Here is a 22029-nt window from a genome sequence, read left to right as displayed (position 1 = left end):
TCTACTAAAAATACAAAAAATTAGCTGGGCGTGGGGGTGGGCACCTGTAGTCCCAGCTACTCAGGAGGCTGAGACAGGAGAATTGCTTGAACCCATGAGGCGGAGGTTGCAGTGAGCTGAGATCGCGCCACTGCACTCCAGCTTGGGTGACATAGTGAGACTCCGTCTCAAACAAACAAACAAACAGACAAACGAACAAGAAACAAATTCCTGCTTCTAGGTTTCGCAGAAAGGAAGGAGATTAACATTCTGCTTCCAAAGTTCTTCCCCTCCCCCTTCCCCCTCAACAACTGTAGTCCTCTCATGGAAGGCCAGACAAGCAGATGTATGTAACTGTCCACTTCTGCCCATATTGTTGGCTCTGCTACTCAGGAAATAAGAAAAATCACGCTGGGTCTCCAGCTCCTCTGGAAGCATGAACCAGGATGCACATTCTCCCCTGGGACCACCTCAAAGGGATTGTGCCTCTTATCACCAACCTGGAGGGACTCACAGATGAATGATGCTGACAAGTCTTGCAGTAATTTCTTGCCCCGAACTGGGAAACTGAATGCCAGTAGGTGCATGCATTACCTACTGTCTGCCGTCACTCAGAGAGCTGCGCTAAGGATGACCAGGGCAGAGTTGTGGGAACTGCCATCTTCTTCTGCAGGAGGGCTCACTCAAGTCTGATATGCCTAAGAATGTAACGACTTTTGAATTTTGAGCTTCCTCCTTAAGACCTGGATTTAGACCAATAATCCTCAAGGACTCCTGTTCAATAACAGTCCAGTTTCCTGGGAATGGTGAAGAAGGGTGTGAGGTGTTCAGGTCAAAGGCAGATAAAGTAGGAGGAAAGGAAGAGAAGGAGGGAAAGAAAGGAAAGGAAAAAAGGACAGACAAGACAATGGCCTGGGCCAGGGAGCACTTCAAACCACAAAGAAGTGACTAGATTGCTGTTTTTCTTTCTGCTTCATCCCAGAATGTCTCTCATTACTATTAGTGGCAAAAACCGCAATTACTTTTGCACCAACCTAAATAACCTGTACTCAAGGCAATGAAATTTCCCAATGTCCTGGAGTTCTAAAATCATTTTTAATATACAGTCAGAAGGACTTGGGTCAATTGAGTGTGAAAATAACATAAGACAGAGCGTCCCCCAGGCCTGCTGGATGATAAACCACTATGCAAAAATAGAAAATATCAGAAGTAGGATTTTAGACAGAAAACACATTTCACAAAATACAGCATGTATTTAAAATAAATAAAAATATTATTAATTAGAACCGAGCATGGTGGTCCGCACCTATAGTCCCAGCTACTCAGGAGGCTGAGGGAGGAGGAATGCTTGAGCCCAGGAGTTCAAGTCTAGCCTCAGCAACATAGCAAGACCCTATCTCTTAAAAATATATATGAACAAATAAAAATAAGAACCACATCATCTTGAGATCTTTGTATTGGCCAGATGCCACGTGAGGTGCTTTCTATAAATAGTCTGTGAAAACATCTCAGGAGTTCTCTGAGGTGGGAACCGTCACCATCCTATTCTCCAAGTCAGGAACCAGTGGGATGAGTGAGGTGGACTTCGCCAGGAGTCCTGAGGTGGGCATATAGGAGGCAGGGCTTGAGCCCAGGCTGTACCCACACCACAGAATCAGCAGCCCTGGCAGCAGCTCCACTTGTCTACCGGACCACACACTTTACCCTCATGTTCTTCGTAACTCCATAAGGAAGGGACTAGGCTTTTCCAACCCTCATTTTGCAGATGAGGAAACTGAGTTTCAAAGTGGCCCTGACAAACCCCAAGGTCACTGAAGGCTGGCAGGGGCAGAGCTGGAATTCCAGCACAAATATTGTGGTCTGGAGGCCCGCAGTTGATAGGCTCTCTCCTTCCAGGGGGTCCTCCCTGAGTCCCTAACCTTTACGCCACCATTTCTCAAAGGAGCCAAGCTGGTCCTTGAGCCAACCTGGGGTGGCTTTGCTGACCCCTCACAGCTTCCGCAGAAGGGCAGTGTCTCTGGGGACGCCTGCTGGGGACAAGTCACTGCCTCCCTCTTTCTTTAATGCCAACAGCTCTCGAACCCCCACGTGCAGGAGGAGAGCTGCCCTGACTCCACTGCTGGCTTCACTCCTTTCCCACATGGATAAAACCTGAGGTTAGAAAACACCGCTCAGAAGTGACTCATTCCTGACTTCCCTGCCAAAAACAACACCCATTTACGTAACTTGCTCACACACCAATCTTTTCCTCCTCCTCAGGGTGACTGCCCTGTCAAACCAAGGCTGATCTTCCTCACAAACTGGCCTTCCATTTCCAGCAGAGGCAAATCAAATTGCCCTTTCCGCCCTCATCTCTTTGCTAACTGGGGTCAGAGATAGCCCAACCAACGTGTCCCTCCCACACTGTGTTGGTGACTTCCGGAAGGGATGTGAGATTTCCTATCTAACACTTGTTCTTGGGCTGATTTCTTAAGCCAACCTCAAAAAAAAAAAAAGAGTGTGGTGTAGGAAAGGCCTCATGAACCAGGGATCACTCTCTCTGCTGAATTTGCAGGCCAGTTTCCTGACGGAGCACTTCTCACATTTTCCATCTCTAGCTGCTTACGTGCAGAAAAGAAAACCCTTTTCGGGTGTGTCTGTAGACTAGACTTTGGCATAGGAATAGACGTGGGCAGCCATTTGATACATGAAATTCCCAGTGCTTCTGAAACCAGAAGCAATTAGTCCAAAAAAATGTTTAACTATCTATCCCCATAATGTGCTAGGAGGTTCTCTATGGTCATGTCAGCATATATATCCCAAAACATCTGTATTGGCTTAAAAAAAACAAAAATAAAAAACGAGGTATGTCCAAAGATAGCCTGTCCTCCTCTTCATTCCAGGTAAGGACAGCCCCTGTCCTTCTGTAAGGAAGAGGAAGCGAAGGGAACTTCCCCCAGGCGCTGGTGGGAACATCTTAGGAGGAAGGAACATAGAAATTGGCAAGGACTCGAAGGACGGATATGAAAGTGCCGTGAGCCCTGCTGAGCCCCATGTGTGCCAAAAATTAATTCATAAGCAAATGCTTATTTTATAGTTTCCCACTTGCTACAAAACATCAAGCCACAAGGAAATATTTCTTCTGGGGGCTGACAGGAAGCGGGTGGCACCAGAGTGGGGAGAAAGAAAGCCGGAAGTTCTCTTCAAGACAAGCGTGATCCTATCACCTGACAACGTGTCACCCGTTTCTGGAAAATCCACGGGCTGTGGTACTGTCTCCTTGTTCCCATAAGCGGAGGGTTCAATGTGAAGCCTGCTCTGATGGCAGCCAGGTAGGAGAAGTCTGGGAGTCACGATCTACCCTCAGATGTTATCACCATTGCAGGAGCCGGGGCAGGAAGAAAAGATGCTGGGAGACCTGGGGACACCACCCCTGGGAGTCCATTATGCCAGACTGGGAAGTAACCTGTATTTGGCTTCCAGGCATTTCAGGGCTTTAGGTGATGATGTGATGGATGACAGGGTTTCATAATAAGGGAGCAAACCCTCCATGAGAGTGCCTAGCAAGCACTGTATGTCATTATTTGTGGATTCCCATAAATTGAATCCTCTAGGGTCTGGACAATGAAATCTAGAATTTCTGGAGTGCTGTGATTCCCAGTGAGCTTATCCTAAGGCAGGACTGAATTTTCTTACAACATCCAAAAGGAGAAAGACAAGAGTCAACACTTTTGCAAAGAAGGGATTTAGTATCCAGGGAGATCCAAACTCCTCAACTGCAGAGACAATGGTGTCTCCCTTTCCTGCAGCTGTAGCATCCAGCTTGGGGGCCTGGCTGACCCATGGTAGGTGCTCAATCGATTATAATGGGGGTGGTGGTGAGGAAGCCAGTCCCCAAAGGTGGTCCCCAACAATTCTCTCTTTTTATACATGTACCCTCCTCACAATAAGAGGTGGAGTTTTTCTCCCCGCCTTTGAAATGGGGCTGGCCTCATGTCTGGCTTTGACCAATAGAATGTGATAGAAGTGATATTCTAGGAATTCTAAACCCAGGCTTTGAAAAGGCTAGTAGCTTCCACTTCCTGCTTCTTGAAACACTGTTTCTCAGAACCCAGTCACCATGTTCTAAGAAGCCCAAACCACACAGAGAACCAAGGCACTCCAGGCAGTACCCCCAGCTGAGCTCTCAGCAAAGGACCAGCACCAATGGCCACAGTCATATGAGTGACCACGTAAGCTGTTCTAAGACCAGTCAACCCCCTGATGGTTGCAGACCCAGCCAAGATCACACAGAGCAAAAGAACCACCCAGCTGAGCCCAAGCTCACAGAATCATGCTAGGCACCAAAATGGCCATTGCTTTAGGCTATTAAATTTTTAGGTGGTTATTCAGTGACAGATAACTACAGGTGGAGGTGGGACGGACAAGAGGTACAGGATATTTTATCATGGGTTTTGTCCAGCTCTGGAACTCTGAGTAAGTCATAACCTCCTTGAGTTTCTGTTTCCTTGAGCCACTGTGCCCAGCGTTCCCTAAATATTTTAAATCTGCAGTTGGTTGAATCCACAGATGCAGAACCGACAAACACAGAGGGCAGACTGTATACATTTCTGGAACTGTGTAGGCCTGCCTGCTTCCCTGCAACTCCCCTTTCTACCACCTGTCATCAGGAAACATGGATCTCAAGAAGGCCAGCTGACCACAGACCCATTTCCCTTCCTGAGACCCTCCATGGTGCACCGAACAGGAAGTGACCGTGCTCCACCAGCTCCGGCAAGAACCCACCATGTCTTCAGTGGAGCAAAGCATCTCAGCAATCATTAATTGCCACACTGTGGTCTTAGCCCAAGTCAGGCTCACTTCCCAGCTGGCCACTTACTACTCTGAACCAACTTCTCAACAGCAAGACGAAACTCTGAATCACTCCCCCTGGGGCTTCAAGGTTCCTGTCCTTAACTGGCCCCAGACACAACCCTAGTTCCACATCATTTTCTCCAGAGAAAGAGAAGCTTGGGGCCAAGGGGCTCTGACAAGTCAAGTCTAGGCTAGAAGGCATTTTCCTGGAACCATCGGCCTCCTGTGAGACACTGGGTTAGACTGGGCCCCCCAGGGGTCACAGAAGCGGGGAGGAGAAAACAGCATGTGCGTGCGGCCACACCCGCACCCTTCCATCCTGGCATGGATCCACAGGCCCCCACACCACCCCTGCGTTCCCCCAAGAGAAAACATCCCTGCTCCACACGTGGCTGAACTGCGGTAACTCCATCATGGCATTTCATCTACAGCCTGGGTGTATGAGTAATAAATGTGTGAAACCATGAAACTAATATTCATAATGACCTTACAAGATAAAGAACTTGAAGGAAAAACAGCTTCTGTGTGCCTGGCCGTCACCATCAGGGTGCTCCGTGAAAAACATGGCATCTCACCAGAGCCACAGACATCGTCTCCCCAGGAGCCTCAGTGCTGGCGGCCCTCAGCCCCACCAGCCACTATACTTCATTGTTAGTCCTTAATTAATGGTGCCTTTGTGCACCTGGTCATCCCGATGCCAAGCCCAGAACCGAATGGGGCCTCTGACTTCTCTTCCACGTCTAATCAGACGCCATTTCAGCCAACATTTACCAAGTATCAGCAGGTCCAGGCCTGGGCCTGGTGCAAGGAGTGACAGGGTCTCTGTTTGTGACATCCTGTCCCTCACCCCCACCCCTTTAGTCCCAGCAAGGTTCAGAGTCTCATTCCCTGCCCTCATTTCTTTTATTTGTTGATTGACATATAACATAGGTACAGTAAAGCACACTAATTTTAAGCATATGGCTTACTGAGTTGTTGTTTTTTTTCTTTTTTAAACTTTTATTTTAAATTCAGGGTTGCAATTGCAGGTTACATAGGTAAGCTTGTGTCACTGGGGTTTATCACATAGATTGCTTCACCACTCTGGTATTAAACCTAGTACCCATTAGTTATTTTTCCATCCTCTCCCTCCTTCCGACCTCCACCTTCCGAAAAGCCCCAGTGGGCGTCGTTCCCCCTATAAGTGTCCATGTGTTCCTGTCACTTAGCTCCCACTTATAACTGAGAACATGCGGTATTTGATTTTCTGTTCCTGTGTTATTTTGCTAAGGATAATGGTCTCCAGCTCCATCCGTGTCCCAGCAAAGGATACGATCACGGAGTTTTAAACATGTGCACAGTCATGTAACCACCACCCAAACAAAGAGGTCGAATATGTTTCCAGCACCCAGAGAGCTCTCTTGTGCCATTATGAGAAAATATCCTCTCCCAAGATATGAACTCTTTTATCAGAGATTTAAGTTCAGGTTCTCATCAGCTCTTCCACAAATTACTGCCCATTAACTTTTTAATTCTTAGACTGCCTCCTTGGGACCCTGCTTTCCTCAGTTTACCTGTCCTCTACTGCCAGGTGTATAGTCCTCCGTTACAGCTCCAAAGCCCCTTGGAGGGCTGCACTGCTCCTATATATGAACCCCAACCCCCATCCAAGGCCCTTCACTTCTACATAGCACTCCTCGGTCTGAAAGACCCAACCGCTGTTCTGGAAACCCAACTGCTGCTCTCACACCTCTGGGCCCTCTCTACCATGGAATATGACAAAGATTCCTTATGCCCCAGGTCCATGCCCAATTTCCCCCTTTCAGTCCCATGTCCATCCTTGAAAGCCCATTTCATCCACAGACCGTCTGCAGGCTCCCCAGAGAGATGCTGGTCCTTCTTCCTTGGTGGTTCCCCGGCATCACTTCTACTTCTTGGAGGGCACTAAATGTCATCCTTGAGACATAGCATCGTATGTGCACATCCACGTATCCTTGTTAGAGGTTCAATTTCTTGAGGACTGAGATTCTGGGATTTCTCAAACTGGTAAAGCTTTGAAATTTGGGGAAGGGAAGGAATAACAACCTAGGGTTTCCAACTTCTAATTTGGCCAACAGAAAAAAAAAATCTATCATCCATAATCAACACCATTTCATTAAAGAAGACACTGTGGCTAAGGATAAAGATTGGAGAGATATAATCTCAGAAAAAAATGGCCAGGTCTTCAACCTGAATCCATTGGTTTATGAAAAGTTCACCACATTGTCCTCATTTTCCACACTTGACTATGCCTGGAGAAAATCCTCACAGACGAACTGGCTCCCATGTCTGGAAACCACTGCCCCATCATCGCCCCTGGTATAGCAGCACATACGCAGAAAGGGCTCAATGACTATTCAGTTCAACTGCTCTAATCACAGGAAATCATGTGGTTCTAAGACAAGGAGCATTTCAGCTCTGCTTCCTCCCAACACAGGAGCCCAGAACACAGCAGTGGCTGGGCAACATTCCATTGATGAGAAGGACTGCAGGACCCACCCACACACACATGACAAAATAAAAAGCAATCCCAACGTGTACGACTCGTGCCCACGTGACAACTTAGACAAGCAGTGGGCCTTGCCACTGGCCCAGGTGCCTCACTCATTGTCCCAAATCCCAACCTGGTGCAACACGTGACAATGAACTTCAAAAGTGTACGTTGGGGGAAGCGGGGATTGGAAGGCGAAAGAAAAGGGCCACCGCAGTTGGCTGCACAGGTTGTGCCAAGGCACAAGGGTGCTGGCTGGAGGAGCAGGCAGGGACTGAAATCTCACCTGTGCTGCACCTGCCAAGCCAGGCACCCTGGCCGGGGGCACACTGACTCACAGGAAGAAACGCCCTTTACAAAGTTGCACAAAGAACCAAGACTTCATTAACCGAGACTCCGAATTTCAGTTCAAGGCCAAGAATATGTCAGGTCAAATATATACATCAGGGTGAATTTTACAGTATGTGGATTATATCTCAATAAAGCTTTTATCAAAACATATGTGTGTGTGTATGTGTACACGAGTCTGTACATAGATACACGTCCAAAAAAAAAACTCTTATTCAGAGAGCTAACAAAGAAGGAAGAGTGCATAAAGGAGGTATTAAAAATATTTAAAGGGATCATATATAAAAGTTATGTTATTTATGTATTATTAAAATTCATGTTCTAAGATGACTGTTGTGGAAGAAAAAATCATGAAAATTGTTTTTTAAGGACATCTATAAAAAGTGAACTAGAAATAGAATTTGAGTTTTTATTATTAGTTTTAAATATATATCATACCTACCTTTCAAAAAGTCATCTATTCATTTCTGACTAACATAGCCTGGTATCTCTAGTATTTCAAATTGATTTGGCTTTATTAAACTTTCAGTTAAAAGGTAGGTAAATTTATCAGAAGCAACAGCTGTGGTATCTATAGATACATAAAAGTTAAATCTTCTAAATAGCACACACAGTTCAAACTCTTTGGTCATCTTGTGATGAGATCCCCTACAATCTTGGATAAAAACTGTAAATAAACTTCATGCAATCATTTACTTATTCAACAAACATTTATGGAGTGCCCACTATGTGCCAGATCTTAGGCCAGTTTCCTTTGCGTATTCTCAGTGTTTTATCAGTTTTCAAATGTAACTCATGTTCTGGAACCAAGTCTGATTTATGACCAAATGATCACAGCAGGATACTAGCAGAACTCATTTTTCAAAACAGAATTTTGTGCCCTCAGAATGAGCTGTCTCTCAAACAAGGCTTGGTACCACCCAGACATCTGGCTCCCAGAACAGACTCTCCTCCTGCTCAGCAGGGATGCCATACCAGTAGCCAAGCTGCCTTCCTACCTGGATGGTGGTGTTGCCTCCTTCCAGAAGGGCAATGGCCAGGAGAATGCTTTCATGGAACACTCGGTCACTGGATGCGTTCATGATGAGGTCGATAACTAGATTGGAAGCCCCCTCCTTGTCAAGGTGACACTGAACCTCGGCCAGACTCATCTCACCCCTGCTCATAGAGCTGGATCCGGAACCTCCCCCTAAGAAGATGGAATATTGTTTTTACTAAGCACAATCAGAACAGCTAATGTTTGCTGCATACTTACTACGCACCAACACTTTATGCACTAAATGCTTTACCCATGTTCATCTCTTTTAACCCTTTTAATCCCACAAGGAAAATACTGATTATTAACACAGAGCGATGAAGGTGCTTTCCCTAAGGACACCCAGCTTGTCAGCAGCAGAGATGGTGTTTGAATTCAGACAGGTAAGATGAAAAAAGAATGATACATTTCCAGCAAGGGACCTAAAGCCAGCCAGCAAAGACTCTCCCTTACATTAAAACACAATTACTTGTGGCAGAGTTCAGAACTGGTTTCAGAAACAAACCAAAGTCAAACACTTCTTAGAACACTCTCAAGGAAGCTCAGCCTATAATGATCACTTTAGCTCTCCTTTTAACAAGCCTACTCTAACCCCCAACTTACTCTTTTACATAATTTATCTGTTTATTCATTCAACAAATGTTTGCTCACTGCTTGGCGTGGAGCCAAGAGCTGGGGATGGGGGAGATGAATATACTTAAGAAGAGAGGACCTATGCCATTTAGAATGGATTCTGACTGTGTTTGGGAGGTACATATTTAAGGACTTGCCTTGTATTACTATTGGCAATAACTAAACCATGAACGCACATGGAGAAATGGGCTGATCAGCTTCAAAAGGCAGAAAATTGTCTATCTGTCCTTTCGTGCAGAACTCAATTCCAATGTCACCTCCTTTATGCTGCTTGTCCTTGACTTGTCCTTATATCTATAGCACAAGGTAGAAATTGGGTTGCACATTCTCTCTGCTACAGCTTCTCAGAGCAGAGTCTGTCTTGCATTTCCAAATCCCTGTCATGATGCCTCCCCAAGGGCTTCACATAATTGTTAAATGACCTCACTACAGAAAGTAAAGAGAATGGTTTTGAGAGATTATGTGAAGAACCTCTGCATTGATTTTTGGATTTGAAAGGCCAAGTTCTCATCTCTAGGATGCCTTGAGAACTGCATCTTCACTGAAGCCAGCATAGCTCCATGAACTGGGCAGCTATGCTTCCAGTTTTCATTTAGTGAGAAGTCCAGGCTTCCTCCTTAGCATGTGCTAGGACAAATTAAGCGTACACTGAGTATTTCTGTGCTATACATGGAACCCACCAAGGATCTGAAGCTGCCCCACAGTCATCACCATAAGACAGGAAATCAGGCAACTCACATCTGTGCTTTGAGCACTGCCTAAAAACACAAACTAGGTAAGACCCACCTTTGAGTTCCATGTTTTTGTATCTTTTACCTGTAATTGTGCTTAAACTGATTTAAAGTAAGCACTTCTGTACAGGGATGTTTTTTTGTAAACTCCCATAGGAGTTTGTGGATGTACACAGCATGGGCATTAGAATTAGATATACCAGGCTGAAATTACAGACCAGCCACTAACAAGCTTCCATTTCCTCTGTGGAACTGGGATAGACTGTACCTATCATATAATGAGTAGCTGGGAGGAGAAAATGAGACAAAGAATGCAATGCACTTAGGAAAGCCCCTGGCATTCAGTAAATGTATAATAAATGGCAGCTTTCACTATCCTGGGTGCCAATATCCTCATTATTTTACGGAAAGACAAGAGTCCTAACAACCACGGGACGAAGTGCAATAAAATCAAATCCCTCAAATCATTCAACCATCACCAAGATGGTCACTGCATGGGAAGGAGGAGCAAAAGGCTTAGCCACCATCTAGTTGCAGGGAAATGCTAGTTTGCAGGAAAATATGTTTAGGCATCAATTTGATGGTAGACCAAAGACAAAACAAGTTGCTAAAAAATACACCTGCAACACAAATTCATCTGTTGTGAGCATTTCAACCTGTTAGGAGGAAACATGCAGCTATCACAGAACACACTTGATTCACACACGAAGGTAATTACACCACAAAGCGTACCTCCTCCCCCGGGCTTGCCGGGTCCTCCTGCTGACAGTGGGCCATTGCCAAAGCTGGTAAGGCTCTCTCTTCGTCCCGAAGGTCTGACGTTTCCATAGTAACGGTTGACCAGAACTTGCCTGAGCGCCTCACCCTTAATTCAAACAGGATAATAAAATCAGCTTCTGCATTTAATGCATCACCGAGGGACGAATATTCAAAACACACAGGGGTACTCAGTTATAATTGGCCCAGTTTCACTTGGCGAAAGAATAAATTATTCATGGAAGCATTTAGAAACTCTGAAGTTAACTTCAATATTTTCTCAGAAAACCAGATGTTTTTTAAAAAACGGTAGCAATCTAAAATATTGACTGAAGTTCCCTCTCACACAATGATAAGACAGAACAGTAATTTTGAAGGACAACTAACAATAACAAACAAAAATCTCTTTGGGGTAAGTTGATAAAATTAAGACAAATTGAAAAGGCTTACAGGTCAGCTTCCACATAGCAATATAAAAATGTTATTTCAACCACAAGGTTTATTCCCAAGGTCCGAAAAAATATTAAGATATCAGGGTAATAGAATAAGATGATACAATAAGCCAAGAGTAAGCCTTTCTTACAAAAATAGTCGATGGGCCAAATGGTTAAAAAAACAAAAGACAAACCAAAACAACAACAAAAACCTCATAATGCTATAGGAAATAAATTAGTGGCATGAGTGGCAGATATCAAATATATAAAAAAAAACCCAACATAGGTAAAATGGCATTTTGTCTGGAATCTTCTTTAAAACAATACAGGAGAGAAGGGGAAGCAGCGAGGGATATAAGTGAGACAAGAGTGGGCATGAGCTGACAGTTGCTGTTGAAGCAGAGTTATGAATGAGGGGTTTCAAAACCTTTCTGACTCCTTTTATATACATTTCAACCTTTCTGTAATAAAATTTTTTAAAAATATAAATATCAAAGAGTCCTGAACAGGGATATAGTAACTCTTTGTTATTACTCTAACCAAAAAAACCTCCATTGTTCAGTAATACTGGGGGATACTGGCAAGCCAGTAACCAGAGGCAGCATGCGTTCTGCATTCTCAGCTCTACACTTTCACCCGCACTCCTAAGGGGCCCCAAGACCACCTCCTAATCTGAAGGTTCTAAAAGTCAAAGGCTGTATAAATTTTCCCTGGACTCCTTTCCGGAATCAAAGTAGCAAGTCACGGAGTTCCTCTGGTACGTCATGAAGAGAGGTGAGGGAGAAGAAGTCTGGCCGAGAGGAAAGGTGTTGAAATCTAGCAGGTCTCTAAAACAGAGACTCCAGAGTTCTTTTGAAGAGACCTGCAACTGAACCATGAGTCAGAAGAATTTAAAATGATTTGTTAATAAGCTCTGAGAATAGGTCTGGAGATTTCAAGTGAGGCATTTGCAAAACAAGATGGGAGGGAGCAGACTGAAGCAGGGACCCTGGGAAACGTGAGGCACCCTGGGAGAAGTGGGGGACCAAGGAGGAAAGGAGATAGGCAGGAAACTCTTGGCTCCTGTCAATCATCAAAACCATGGAAAGTCCCAGAAAGGGTTTATCTACTCTGTTAATTCATGCTGCTAATTAAAGATTCCAGGGACAGATTGGGATGGGATAAACAGGGGAGACGGGAGGGGACTGATTTTTAAATGAATGTGCAGAAAACAAAAAAATCCCAAATTTCCTCTCTCCATTCCACCCACAAATATGCCTCTCTTCATAGTTCAGCAAAGGAGGGTAACTTCTATCAGCTCATGAAACTCATTTCCCACTGGACTGACTGTAAATTCAAAATTCCAAGAGTGCTTCAAATGGGTAAGTTACTGGTGATATTTTAAGTACTTTTTAAATAAACTGCTCACAGGTGGGGAAGAAAGTTTCGGTGCAAGATGCTTTAATGACTTGGAATACCCCATTCTGGAAACAAGATACAACTTTACTGGTATTCCAGTCTCAGGCACCAGTATAAACACATCAGCACTCTCTGAAGAAGTCACTGGGAACGCAGTGATTTAAAAGGCTGACTTCATAAGAGAAGTACAAGTTTGAAAGCTACATTCAAGAAAGCCTATGAAGAAAGAATTGAGAGAAAGAAAAGGTTGTCTCCATGTTGAATATGATAGATTAAATATGATTTCCCTTTTTAAATATCATAATGCATCTATTTGATTTTCTTTCAGTATGACACAGACTTTGAGTTCCAGCAACAGGAGTGATTGGCAGCTGACCATCCTGAGTCTCTGACTGGATCCCCTTTGGCACTGTGAGAACATTGTTTGAGCGCTAGATGGCTGGGCTGAGACCCGTAAGCCGCAGCCAGGGAAGACAGCCAACGTAGCCATCGCAACGGGAATCTGAAAGAGCATAGGGTTGAGTGGTCAAGTGAAAGGCAGTATGGTTGTGACCAGTCAACAAACACACATCTCTTAAGGGGGTCTCAACTGGAGCCTGTGTACCACGATTCCACTTGGAGCTAGAGTGACTTGCTTAGATTTTCAGTTTCTAGTGGTGGCTTTTTTCTTCCCCCCTTCGTGTTTTTGAGGGTGAACAGCAAGACCCTGGTCAGTCTGCAATCAAGCAAGCAGGAGGTAATGAAAGGAGCACGTGGACGCCAGGAACAGGAACTCCACATTTATGCAGACTGGATGCCAAACTCAAGTTACAAAGGGATCTCACATTACCATTTTGTCTCTCCTTCAACAGAAAAACCCTAGCAGTTACCATAGCAACTGATGCATCAAATGGTACATTTTCCCCCATAAGAGAATATCATGAAATGTGCTCATTCTGGGGGAAACACACACACACACACACACACACACACACACACACACACACACACACATTCCACCCAACAAACTTTTTTTTTTGCTTTTAATTATAAGGTTTTTGGCACATATTCATCTCACCTTCTCTATACACACATACACACACACACACAATTAAACTGCAAGGAAGAAAAACCAGAGAGCAAGGTTTTTTTTTGTTTTTTTTTTTTTTAAAGATGAGATTCATTCCTTTTTTGAAAGAATAAAGACTGAGAATTATAGGTAAGAGGGGATAGAAAAGGAAAATGGATAAGAATTATTAAAAGTTATGCAAATCTCTAATGTGAAAACTTGGGTTCAAGGAAAATTCTGTTTGAGCCAGTGGTTTAATTTAAGAAAAATTAAAATCTGCAGAGAAAAGCTTTCCTAATCATCCTGATATAAATTACTCAACAGCACTAAGCTGTTCATAATGTACCAGGCTGAGAAATCTGATTGCAGAGAAGGAAAAAAAAAAAAAAAGACTTCTAAAATAACGTCACTTCTTCAGCTTTAACATTTGGCTGTGCAACCCTTTTTAAAAATAATACCAGTTTTTTTCCAGCAGTTTACACCTACAGTATGCAAACAAATATCAGATGTTTGTCTCAGTCAGAAATTCCCACACATTATTACCTAAGACTGAGAAAAGAAAAAGTCATTTGTAATAAGTGTCACATTAAAACAATGAAAATTGGTAGATTAGTGATGTGGAGTAATTAAACCAAGCTCCTACCTGGTCACTCTACCAATATGAGTTCCACTGATATGAACTGAACTAAATAAGCGAATGAACTGCGTGGGAAGAGAGCCAGTGTTGAACAAGGCACTAAGGAGTTAACATTGCCACACACAAAGGAGAGAGAGAACTGACCTTTCGGTTTCCCAGGTTCCAGCCACTTAAAAATCATGTGCTTCAGGCAAGATCACCCTCTCATGTGAGCTGTGAGCCTCTCACACCTTAGTCGGCATGAGGGTAGCGCCTGGATTTTAAAATACCTTCCTTCTCCTCTTGTTGTCTACAAAATCACCTCAATGTTTCACTCCACAAGGTATCTACAAGTTAATATCCCTTATCACATTCCAGCCACTGTGTTAAGGGCTTCATGTGCACAGCTCACTGTCCTAAGGTATAGGGACCATTGTCACCCCCATTTTACAGCAGAAGAAACTGAGGCACAGGGAGGTTAACTTGCTCAAAATCACACAGCTAGTATCTGGCAAAAAGAAAACCCCAAAACTTGAACCTGTTTCTAATTACAAAGTTCACAGGCATAGGCAGCATTCCATACCAAGTCCTCTGAGAGCTCAGGACATGAGGGACAGCTATGTGCCTTTATCAGCTACTCCTAGGACCTAGGACAATTCTAAAGGGCAGGCAAGGATGGAAAATATAAGAATGCAAGGTGCCTCGGGCCATGAAGTGCAGGAGATACAGGAAGCTGGAGAAGAAGGGCTATAGCCTCATGTCCCGAATTCGGATGAAATGCCAACTTCCTGGAGCTATTCTCTGGTCCTAGTCTGAGAAATCACAAAGTTGATGTCTCTATCAGAGCAAGAAAACAAAAGGGATTTGGGATGTAGTGGGACTGGGCAGGGGCCTGGGTGTGTGAGCAGAGTACAGGTGCATCTGGCTACCCATTTATCTCAGGCATCAATTCTCCAAGACAGGGGACAGGTGGGGATGGTTAATGGGTACCAAAAAAATAGTTACAAAAAATGAACAAGACCTGCTATTTCATAGCACAATAGGGTGACTACAGTCAACAATAACATAATTGTACATTTTAAAGTAACTTAAAGAGTGTAATTGGATTGTTTGCAACTCAAAGGATAAATGCTTGAGGGGATGGATACCCCATTCTCCATGATGTGTGTATTTCACATTGTGTGCCTGTGTCAAAACATCTCATGTACCCTATAAATACATACACCTACTATGTACCCACAAAAATAAAAGAAAAATTCTCCTAGACACCGACGACCATAGTTCCAAGACAGTCTTCATAATGACAGGTCATTTTTGAACTCCATGACCTTAGACAAGATGTTGAACATCCCAGAGTCTCAAGGTCCTACTTGTGAAATGCGGATGAAGCCTGTGTCACCAGGACATCTGGTTATCTTCCCAAAAATGGGCAACATGAAAATCAGTGCTGTCAGCATGCTCATGGATATACACAATCTTCTAGAAATGGTTTGGCAAGGCACAGTCAGCACCTTAAAAACAGATCTACCCCTTGGCCAAGGAATTCCTCTTCTAGGAATTTATTCAAAGATGCACACATTCATTCATTTCTTCATCAAAGGAAAACAGTGATGAACCACCTGTTAATTTGAGGAACTTCAGGCAGCTGTTAACTTTCAAAGATTTTCAAAACAAATGCTCAGATCCAGTACTAAATGACAAAACAGGGTACAAAAGTTGTATACCTAGAATAATCCCAATGACAATGCAAATGTGCCTGTGTCTGTTGGCACATGTGCTCATGTGTATAAAAAATAGGTAGAAGGAAATATTAAAACATTAGTGGGGCTGGGCATGGTGGCACACACCTGTAATCCCAGCACTTTGGGAGGCCAAGGCAAGAGGATTGCTTGAGCCCAGGAGTCTGAGACCCGCCTGGGAAACATAGCAAGACTCTGTCTCTACAAAAATAAAAAATAAAAGAAAACTAGCCGGGTGTGGTGCCTATGGTCCCAGCTACTCGGGAAGCTGAGGCAGGAGGATCTCTTGAGCCCAGGAGGTTGAGGCTGCAGTGAGCTGAGATTGCACCACTACATTCCAGCCTGAGCAACAGAGTAATATCTGTCTCTAAAAAACCACCCCAAATAACAAACAAAAACAGTGGCTCTTGTGGCTAGGTAATGTAATTATGAACGTTTTTCCATTTTTTTAAAATTATAAATTATAATGGTCATCAGCCATTACAGTTTTTCTTTTTCTTTTATATTTCACCTAAATAGAAAGCCACCACAGAAAAGAAAAAAGGACATGAAAAGTTTACTTGGTCATTATTTGGAGGCCAGCTGGTTACAGTGCTCTGATCAGGTAGACAATGGGCAGAACCACTATTTAGTTTCATTTATATACATGGCTGTGATTGCTCTTGAGTCAATTAATGCTTTAACAATATCAACAACAAAAGCTGTCTCTCAATCACAGTGTGTGGCTGATGGAGGTGTTACGGTCATTGATCATTAGCTCCCGATACCCAAGACTCAAGACTACGTACCCTTTTATGGTCTTCCAGCTGCCGCAGGGGTGGACTTGGTTCAAGCTCCTGCTAGGCATGCAGAAATTCCATTTTAATACAACACTAAGGAGACACTACCATCTGCAGCATCAGTCACATATAAAATACATTGAGAGTTCATATATAGACAAGAGTTACACAAAAGGAGAATAGGTCTGGATTTTTGTTTTTCCCCCGTATATCCATGCTTGATTACTTTAGATGCTGCTTAACGACTGTCCCATACCCCCAACCCTAGTGCACTGTTCAAAATGGGCAGACATATGACTTTTTGGCCAACATAATTTATTGCAAAGATCATGAAAAAGAAGTTCTATATTATATGCTGTGACATTAACCCAAAAGGGGTTGTAATGCAAGACTCAATCGGGCAGGTCCTTATGATTCATACATGCATCATTGCACAGCACATGCATAAGGACATCAAGACACACGCCTCTGAGCAGACACAGATATGGGACCACGGCTTTCCCCACCCCACAAGTACACAAGTCTTGTAACAAAACCGTTAACAGAATGAGGAGCTCTGATTAGGATATTAAACACTGATCATTAGAAAACATAGACACTGCAACTTAGCTATTCAATCATTTGTTCATGTTTCATTTTTAAGTCTTCTTTCAAATAAAGTACACTTCATTCTAGCTTGAACTACTGTGATTTTGGAATAGTTTCTGAAATTAAATTTTGATACTTGGAAATATGTCTCCCCAAAAAGCTTCTCTATGATCTTACAGACCTTAGTAAACGTTAGTCCTTCATTTAGTGAGTTTAGTTAGCAGCAAGGAGGATAGATTTTTTTTTTTTTTTTAACTGCATCATAGGCTGGGCGCAGAGCCTCATGCCTGTAATCCCAGCACTTTCAGAGGCTGAGGCGGGTGGATCACCTGAGGTCAGGAGTTTGAGACCAGGCTGGCCAACACGGCAAAACCCCATCTCTACTAAAAATACAAAAATTCGCTGAGCGTTGTTGCACATGCCTGTAATCCCAGCTACCCGGGAGGCTGAGGCAGGAGAATCACTTGAACCCAGGAGGCAGAGGTTGCAGTGAGCCAAGGTTGTGCCACTGCACTCCAGCCTGGGTGACAACAAGACTTTGTCTCAAAAAAATAAAAATATTTTTAAAAGTGCATTGCAAAATTACAAGTTTATTAGTAGCTTTTTCTACAATTATAAATATTCTTTATTATTGATTTATAATAACTTCAAAAGTGCATCATCTCTGCACAGGACCCAAAGTCAATTTTGTATAACAGCAGAAAGGTCTTAACATCCTCACATGTCTCAGCTAAATGTCTCAGGATTAAGATGGTTCTGAGTGAGAACTTTCAAAGAACCATGTCCTGGCACCTGGAGGATGCTCAGTTTGGATCCAGCTCCTCAGAACTTTCTACACTGAGAGCCACATCCACGTCAGCAATGATCTGTTCCCAGCCAGCCTAGAGACCTCCCTCCTACATCTACCACCGGGAGAGACTTTTTGTTACAACAATTCAGACACCCAACCAGGACAACTGAGAGGCATCCATATTTGCTGGCGCTGGCGCTACAAATATAGGCGGGCAACACACCTCAGTGGCGTTCTCAGAATCCGGAGCTGGAGGAAGCTAATTGGGAGTAAAACGAAGTACGTTAGTCATGGCACTTGCATCTCGTGGGCCACAGAGAAGTCCAGAGACCAACACTCAAGGACAAAACACAGGAGGAAGGATCAGAGATGAGGCAACCCTGCTGGATCACCTGCCGAAGTGGGCTTCAGCAATCAAGGTGACCAGATACCTTCAAATCAAACTGAATGTGGTTGTGCTGGAGGAGACAATCGACCTGCGATGGGGGAACACATTTAAGATAAGAAAGAAACAAAAAAAGTCTACCACTAACCAAGGAGGAATGATGCTTTAAAACAAAGCAAGTGACAGGAAAAACCACAGCACATCCTTGTCTCAGTCCACCGAGACAAGGAAAGCAATAGTATGCGTGTCCACGGAGGCTCTCAGGGGAGCAGGGGTAGTGATGAAAGCAGGGGCCCAAGGCTTGGGAAAGTTCCACGTGCCACATGTCTCCTGTGGGTTTAGGCTTTCTCCCATGTCTCTCCATTCTCCACATCCTGTCCTACAGCAGAGAAGAAGACCTAGGCTCCAGCTTGGGCTTAGGGGATGCAGTCTCCCTGCTCCAGTGTCTCTGGGAGAAACAAGGTTTCCTGCACTCAGGGTTACTTTGGAGATGAGTTTCCCACCCCATGCGTTTCCCTTGAGGGCTTCATGGTCTGGGTTTCCTGGCCCCATCCCAGCCATGCCACACAGATACCACCCTCCCCCTTGATTTAATAATTTCCAGCCCATGGATGAGCAACAAAAGGATGCCTCGAAAGGACATGCAGGTGAGGGGGAAGGGGTGAGAGGGCATGCAGGGGCTACACAAAGGTGTGCCTGGAGAAAAGTCCACCGCTCCATCTGCAGACAGTGCCGTGAATCTGCCCTCCAAAAGGACATGTGCCTGGAGCAGAGAAGAGATGTCAGATGGAACTGCCAGACCCCACCTGGGCATCTCGGGACCAAAGTCACACACCAGCGGTGTGACTAGTGTGAGGTGTAGTCTGAGGCCACGAGACAAACCCGAGGCTCACGCTGCAACTATGTGACCTTGGCCTCTAACAGGGCTCCAGCACACTCACCTCAGGGCCAGAAGGTGGCTGTCAGGTGGCAGGCCAGGGCTGGTGTTGAAAGCATGAGATGAGTGACACTACGAAATCTGGTGGTGTCTTCGTCCAGCTCAACATTACCCTTTTGATAGTTTGATCCCCAAGAGGGAAGAAAGCCTCTTAATATAGGGCTGCTATATTATGTAATCTAATGATTTCTGTCTTTTGTCTATTTCCCAACAGAGAAAATGAAAGAAAGATCCAGGGCATTAAACTACTTCGGCAAAGACAACAAGGGTTGCTCACTCAATTCTGGACAGACGACCTTTCCTGCATGAGTCCAACTCCACTAATCTCAGGGAGAAAACTTCCCTCTGAAGCATGCAGCCTCCTGCTCGGGGTGGGGAGGGACAGTGCTGGTGGTAGGAAGGACATGAGTGGGGAAGGAAAGTAAAAGCAGAGCACAGGTAAAGGTATTTTCAAAATGATAGAAAGATCACAATCCAAGAATGCATTTTTAACTCTACCCTTACATTCTGTATGCTAAAGAATTAAAACTGTGTAAACATTTTTGCTATCTTCCCTTAGTGCAAAAAGAACATATGAGAAAAAGCAGAATTAAAGCAATTTCCCATGCATTTTAGAGCAGACAGAGATATAGACAGAAGTATTATATTCTACTATTTGCATGGGAAACCCTCCCACTACAGCATCCTTTATACTGATCCAATATGATCAGAACAAAAGAATTATAGGCATGGATTCACCATAGGAATGCACGGAGCTACCCTCTTACCCCTTTGCCAATCAAAACAAAAGCAAAAGAAAATAAAGATGGAACTAGTATGTCGTCTGTTTGAATTCTCTTGCCTGTGCTCTCTTTGTCCAGAGAAGCATCTTGAATTCTTTCAGAATAGAAATAGGTAGTATATATCTATTTCTTAATCACCCGGCAGGGATTATGTTTTATGATTGTACTGACACACTATTTCCTCTGTTAAACTGCTGTCATGCTTGTTCTAAAATTAGTTTAATTAATTCTTAAAACAAAAATTAAATTTAAATTAATAACTGTCTTTTCCCTTGAAAATTTTACGAAGCCGTTTGAGAAAACAGAGGATGCTTTGCATCTTCAAGAATCGTGTCTAACCAGAAAAACACTTTTCAATGTGATCCCTTCGTGGAATAGACTGGAAAACCCCAGAGCACTGCATGAGCATCCTGTGACTATGGCTCATCCAGGGTTTAGCTCTGGCTCTCTGTGTGGCCCTGAGCCAGTCACTGAACCTCTCTGGGCATCCACTTCCTGACCTACTCAAGGAGGACAAAGCAAATATTCTTTTTTTGTGTGTCTGTCTGTTTTTGTGATGGAGTCTTGCTCTGTCTCCCAGGCTGAAGTGCAGTGGCATGATCTCGGCTCACTGCAACCTCCGCCTCCAGGGTTCAAGCGATTCTCCTGCCTCAGCCTCCTGAGTAGCTGGGACTACAGGCATGCACCACCACACCCAGCTAATTTTGTATTTTTAGTAGAGACATGGTTTCACCATGTGGGCCTGGCTGATCTCGAACTCCTGACCTCAAGTGATCCGCCTGCCTCGGGCTCCCAAAGTGCTGGGATTACAGGTGTGAGTCACCACACATGGCTGCAAATATTCTTTAGGATTCCTTCTAACTAAAATACTAATTAATCCTTGGTTTATTTTCAGTAAATTTCATTTCACAATATCTAGCTGGCAAGTTCCCTAAATAATCCAACCCATGGGCCAGGCATGGAAGGGGCCAGGCCATACATGGTATCTAAGTCGGTAAAACCACCCATAGCCTATACTAGCACTTCCTTCTAATGCGGATGTTGGCTATGTTTCCTTGAGGATAAGGTTATTTTATGGCAATAAGCTGTAATTTCAATAAATATAAGCATATTAATAGGATATATATGTTCAAATAAGATCTGTATAAATACAATGTATAATACCCCAAGGAAAAGATAATGTTTAGTAAATGAATAAATGGAATTATATTTTTATTGTCACGTTTTTTACATGAAAGGTGAAGCCCTCATTGAACATGTGTTTAGGGGGAACATTTTGAGGGCACGGGCTCTCTGAAATTCCCATGTTCTGTATTCCTGCTTAGTCCCAGGACCAGTCACTGCGTTCAGGCGCTGGCACCTCCAGTCAAGGCCAATCTCACACATCAGCAGGCGATTCATAGTGATCTGATGTGCTCTGGTTTTGAACTGAGAAACCAACTAGTGCCCTCTACTGCCTCTTCATATTTACTCTGCAATCTTGTCTTCCCAGTGTTTTTAGGCGAGGTGAGCAAAACCTAACTTAATAGAAAAATGACTCCCAATGAATGGCTTTGAAATAGAAATTCAAACTGCACCTCAAGTCACTGAATCTTAAGTGTCCTTCCTGGATGAGGCCACGAATCAGGCCCTCATTATGGTACCTTGGGTAGTAACTGAATATATGCATATGCGACACTGATCTACTCACTTGCAACACATAATGTAC

General features: G+C 43.9%; 1 protein-coding gene across 4 annotated transcripts in view; it reads right to left on the bottom strand.

Annotated features, from left to right (window-relative positions):
• ITPR1 (inositol 1,4,5-trisphosphate receptor type 1) overlaps window positions 1-22029 on the bottom strand; it is a 354159-nt gene that overhangs the window by 103485 nt on the left and 228645 nt on the right. For 2 of the 4 annotated variants that reach the window (NM_001378452.1, NM_001168272.2), the window contains 4 exon segments: window positions 18441-18476; window positions 16849-16896; window positions 10802-10934; window positions 8668-8858 (listed from right to left, as the gene is read on the bottom strand). In NM_001378452.1, the coding sequence (NP_001365381.1) occupies window positions 8668-8858; window positions 10802-10934; window positions 16849-16896; window positions 18441-18476 (408 nt within the window). 4 annotated transcript variants of the gene reach the window in all.

The sequence above is a fragment of the Homo sapiens genome, chromosome 3 (assembly GCF_000001405.40).
Source record: "Homo sapiens chromosome 3, GRCh38.p14 Primary Assembly".
Classification (NCBI taxonomy): Eukaryota; Metazoa; Chordata; class Mammalia; order Primates; family Hominidae; genus Homo; species Homo sapiens.
The sequence above is the reverse complement of the archived record's forward strand: the minus strand, read 5'-3'. Positions and strand labels throughout refer to the sequence as shown.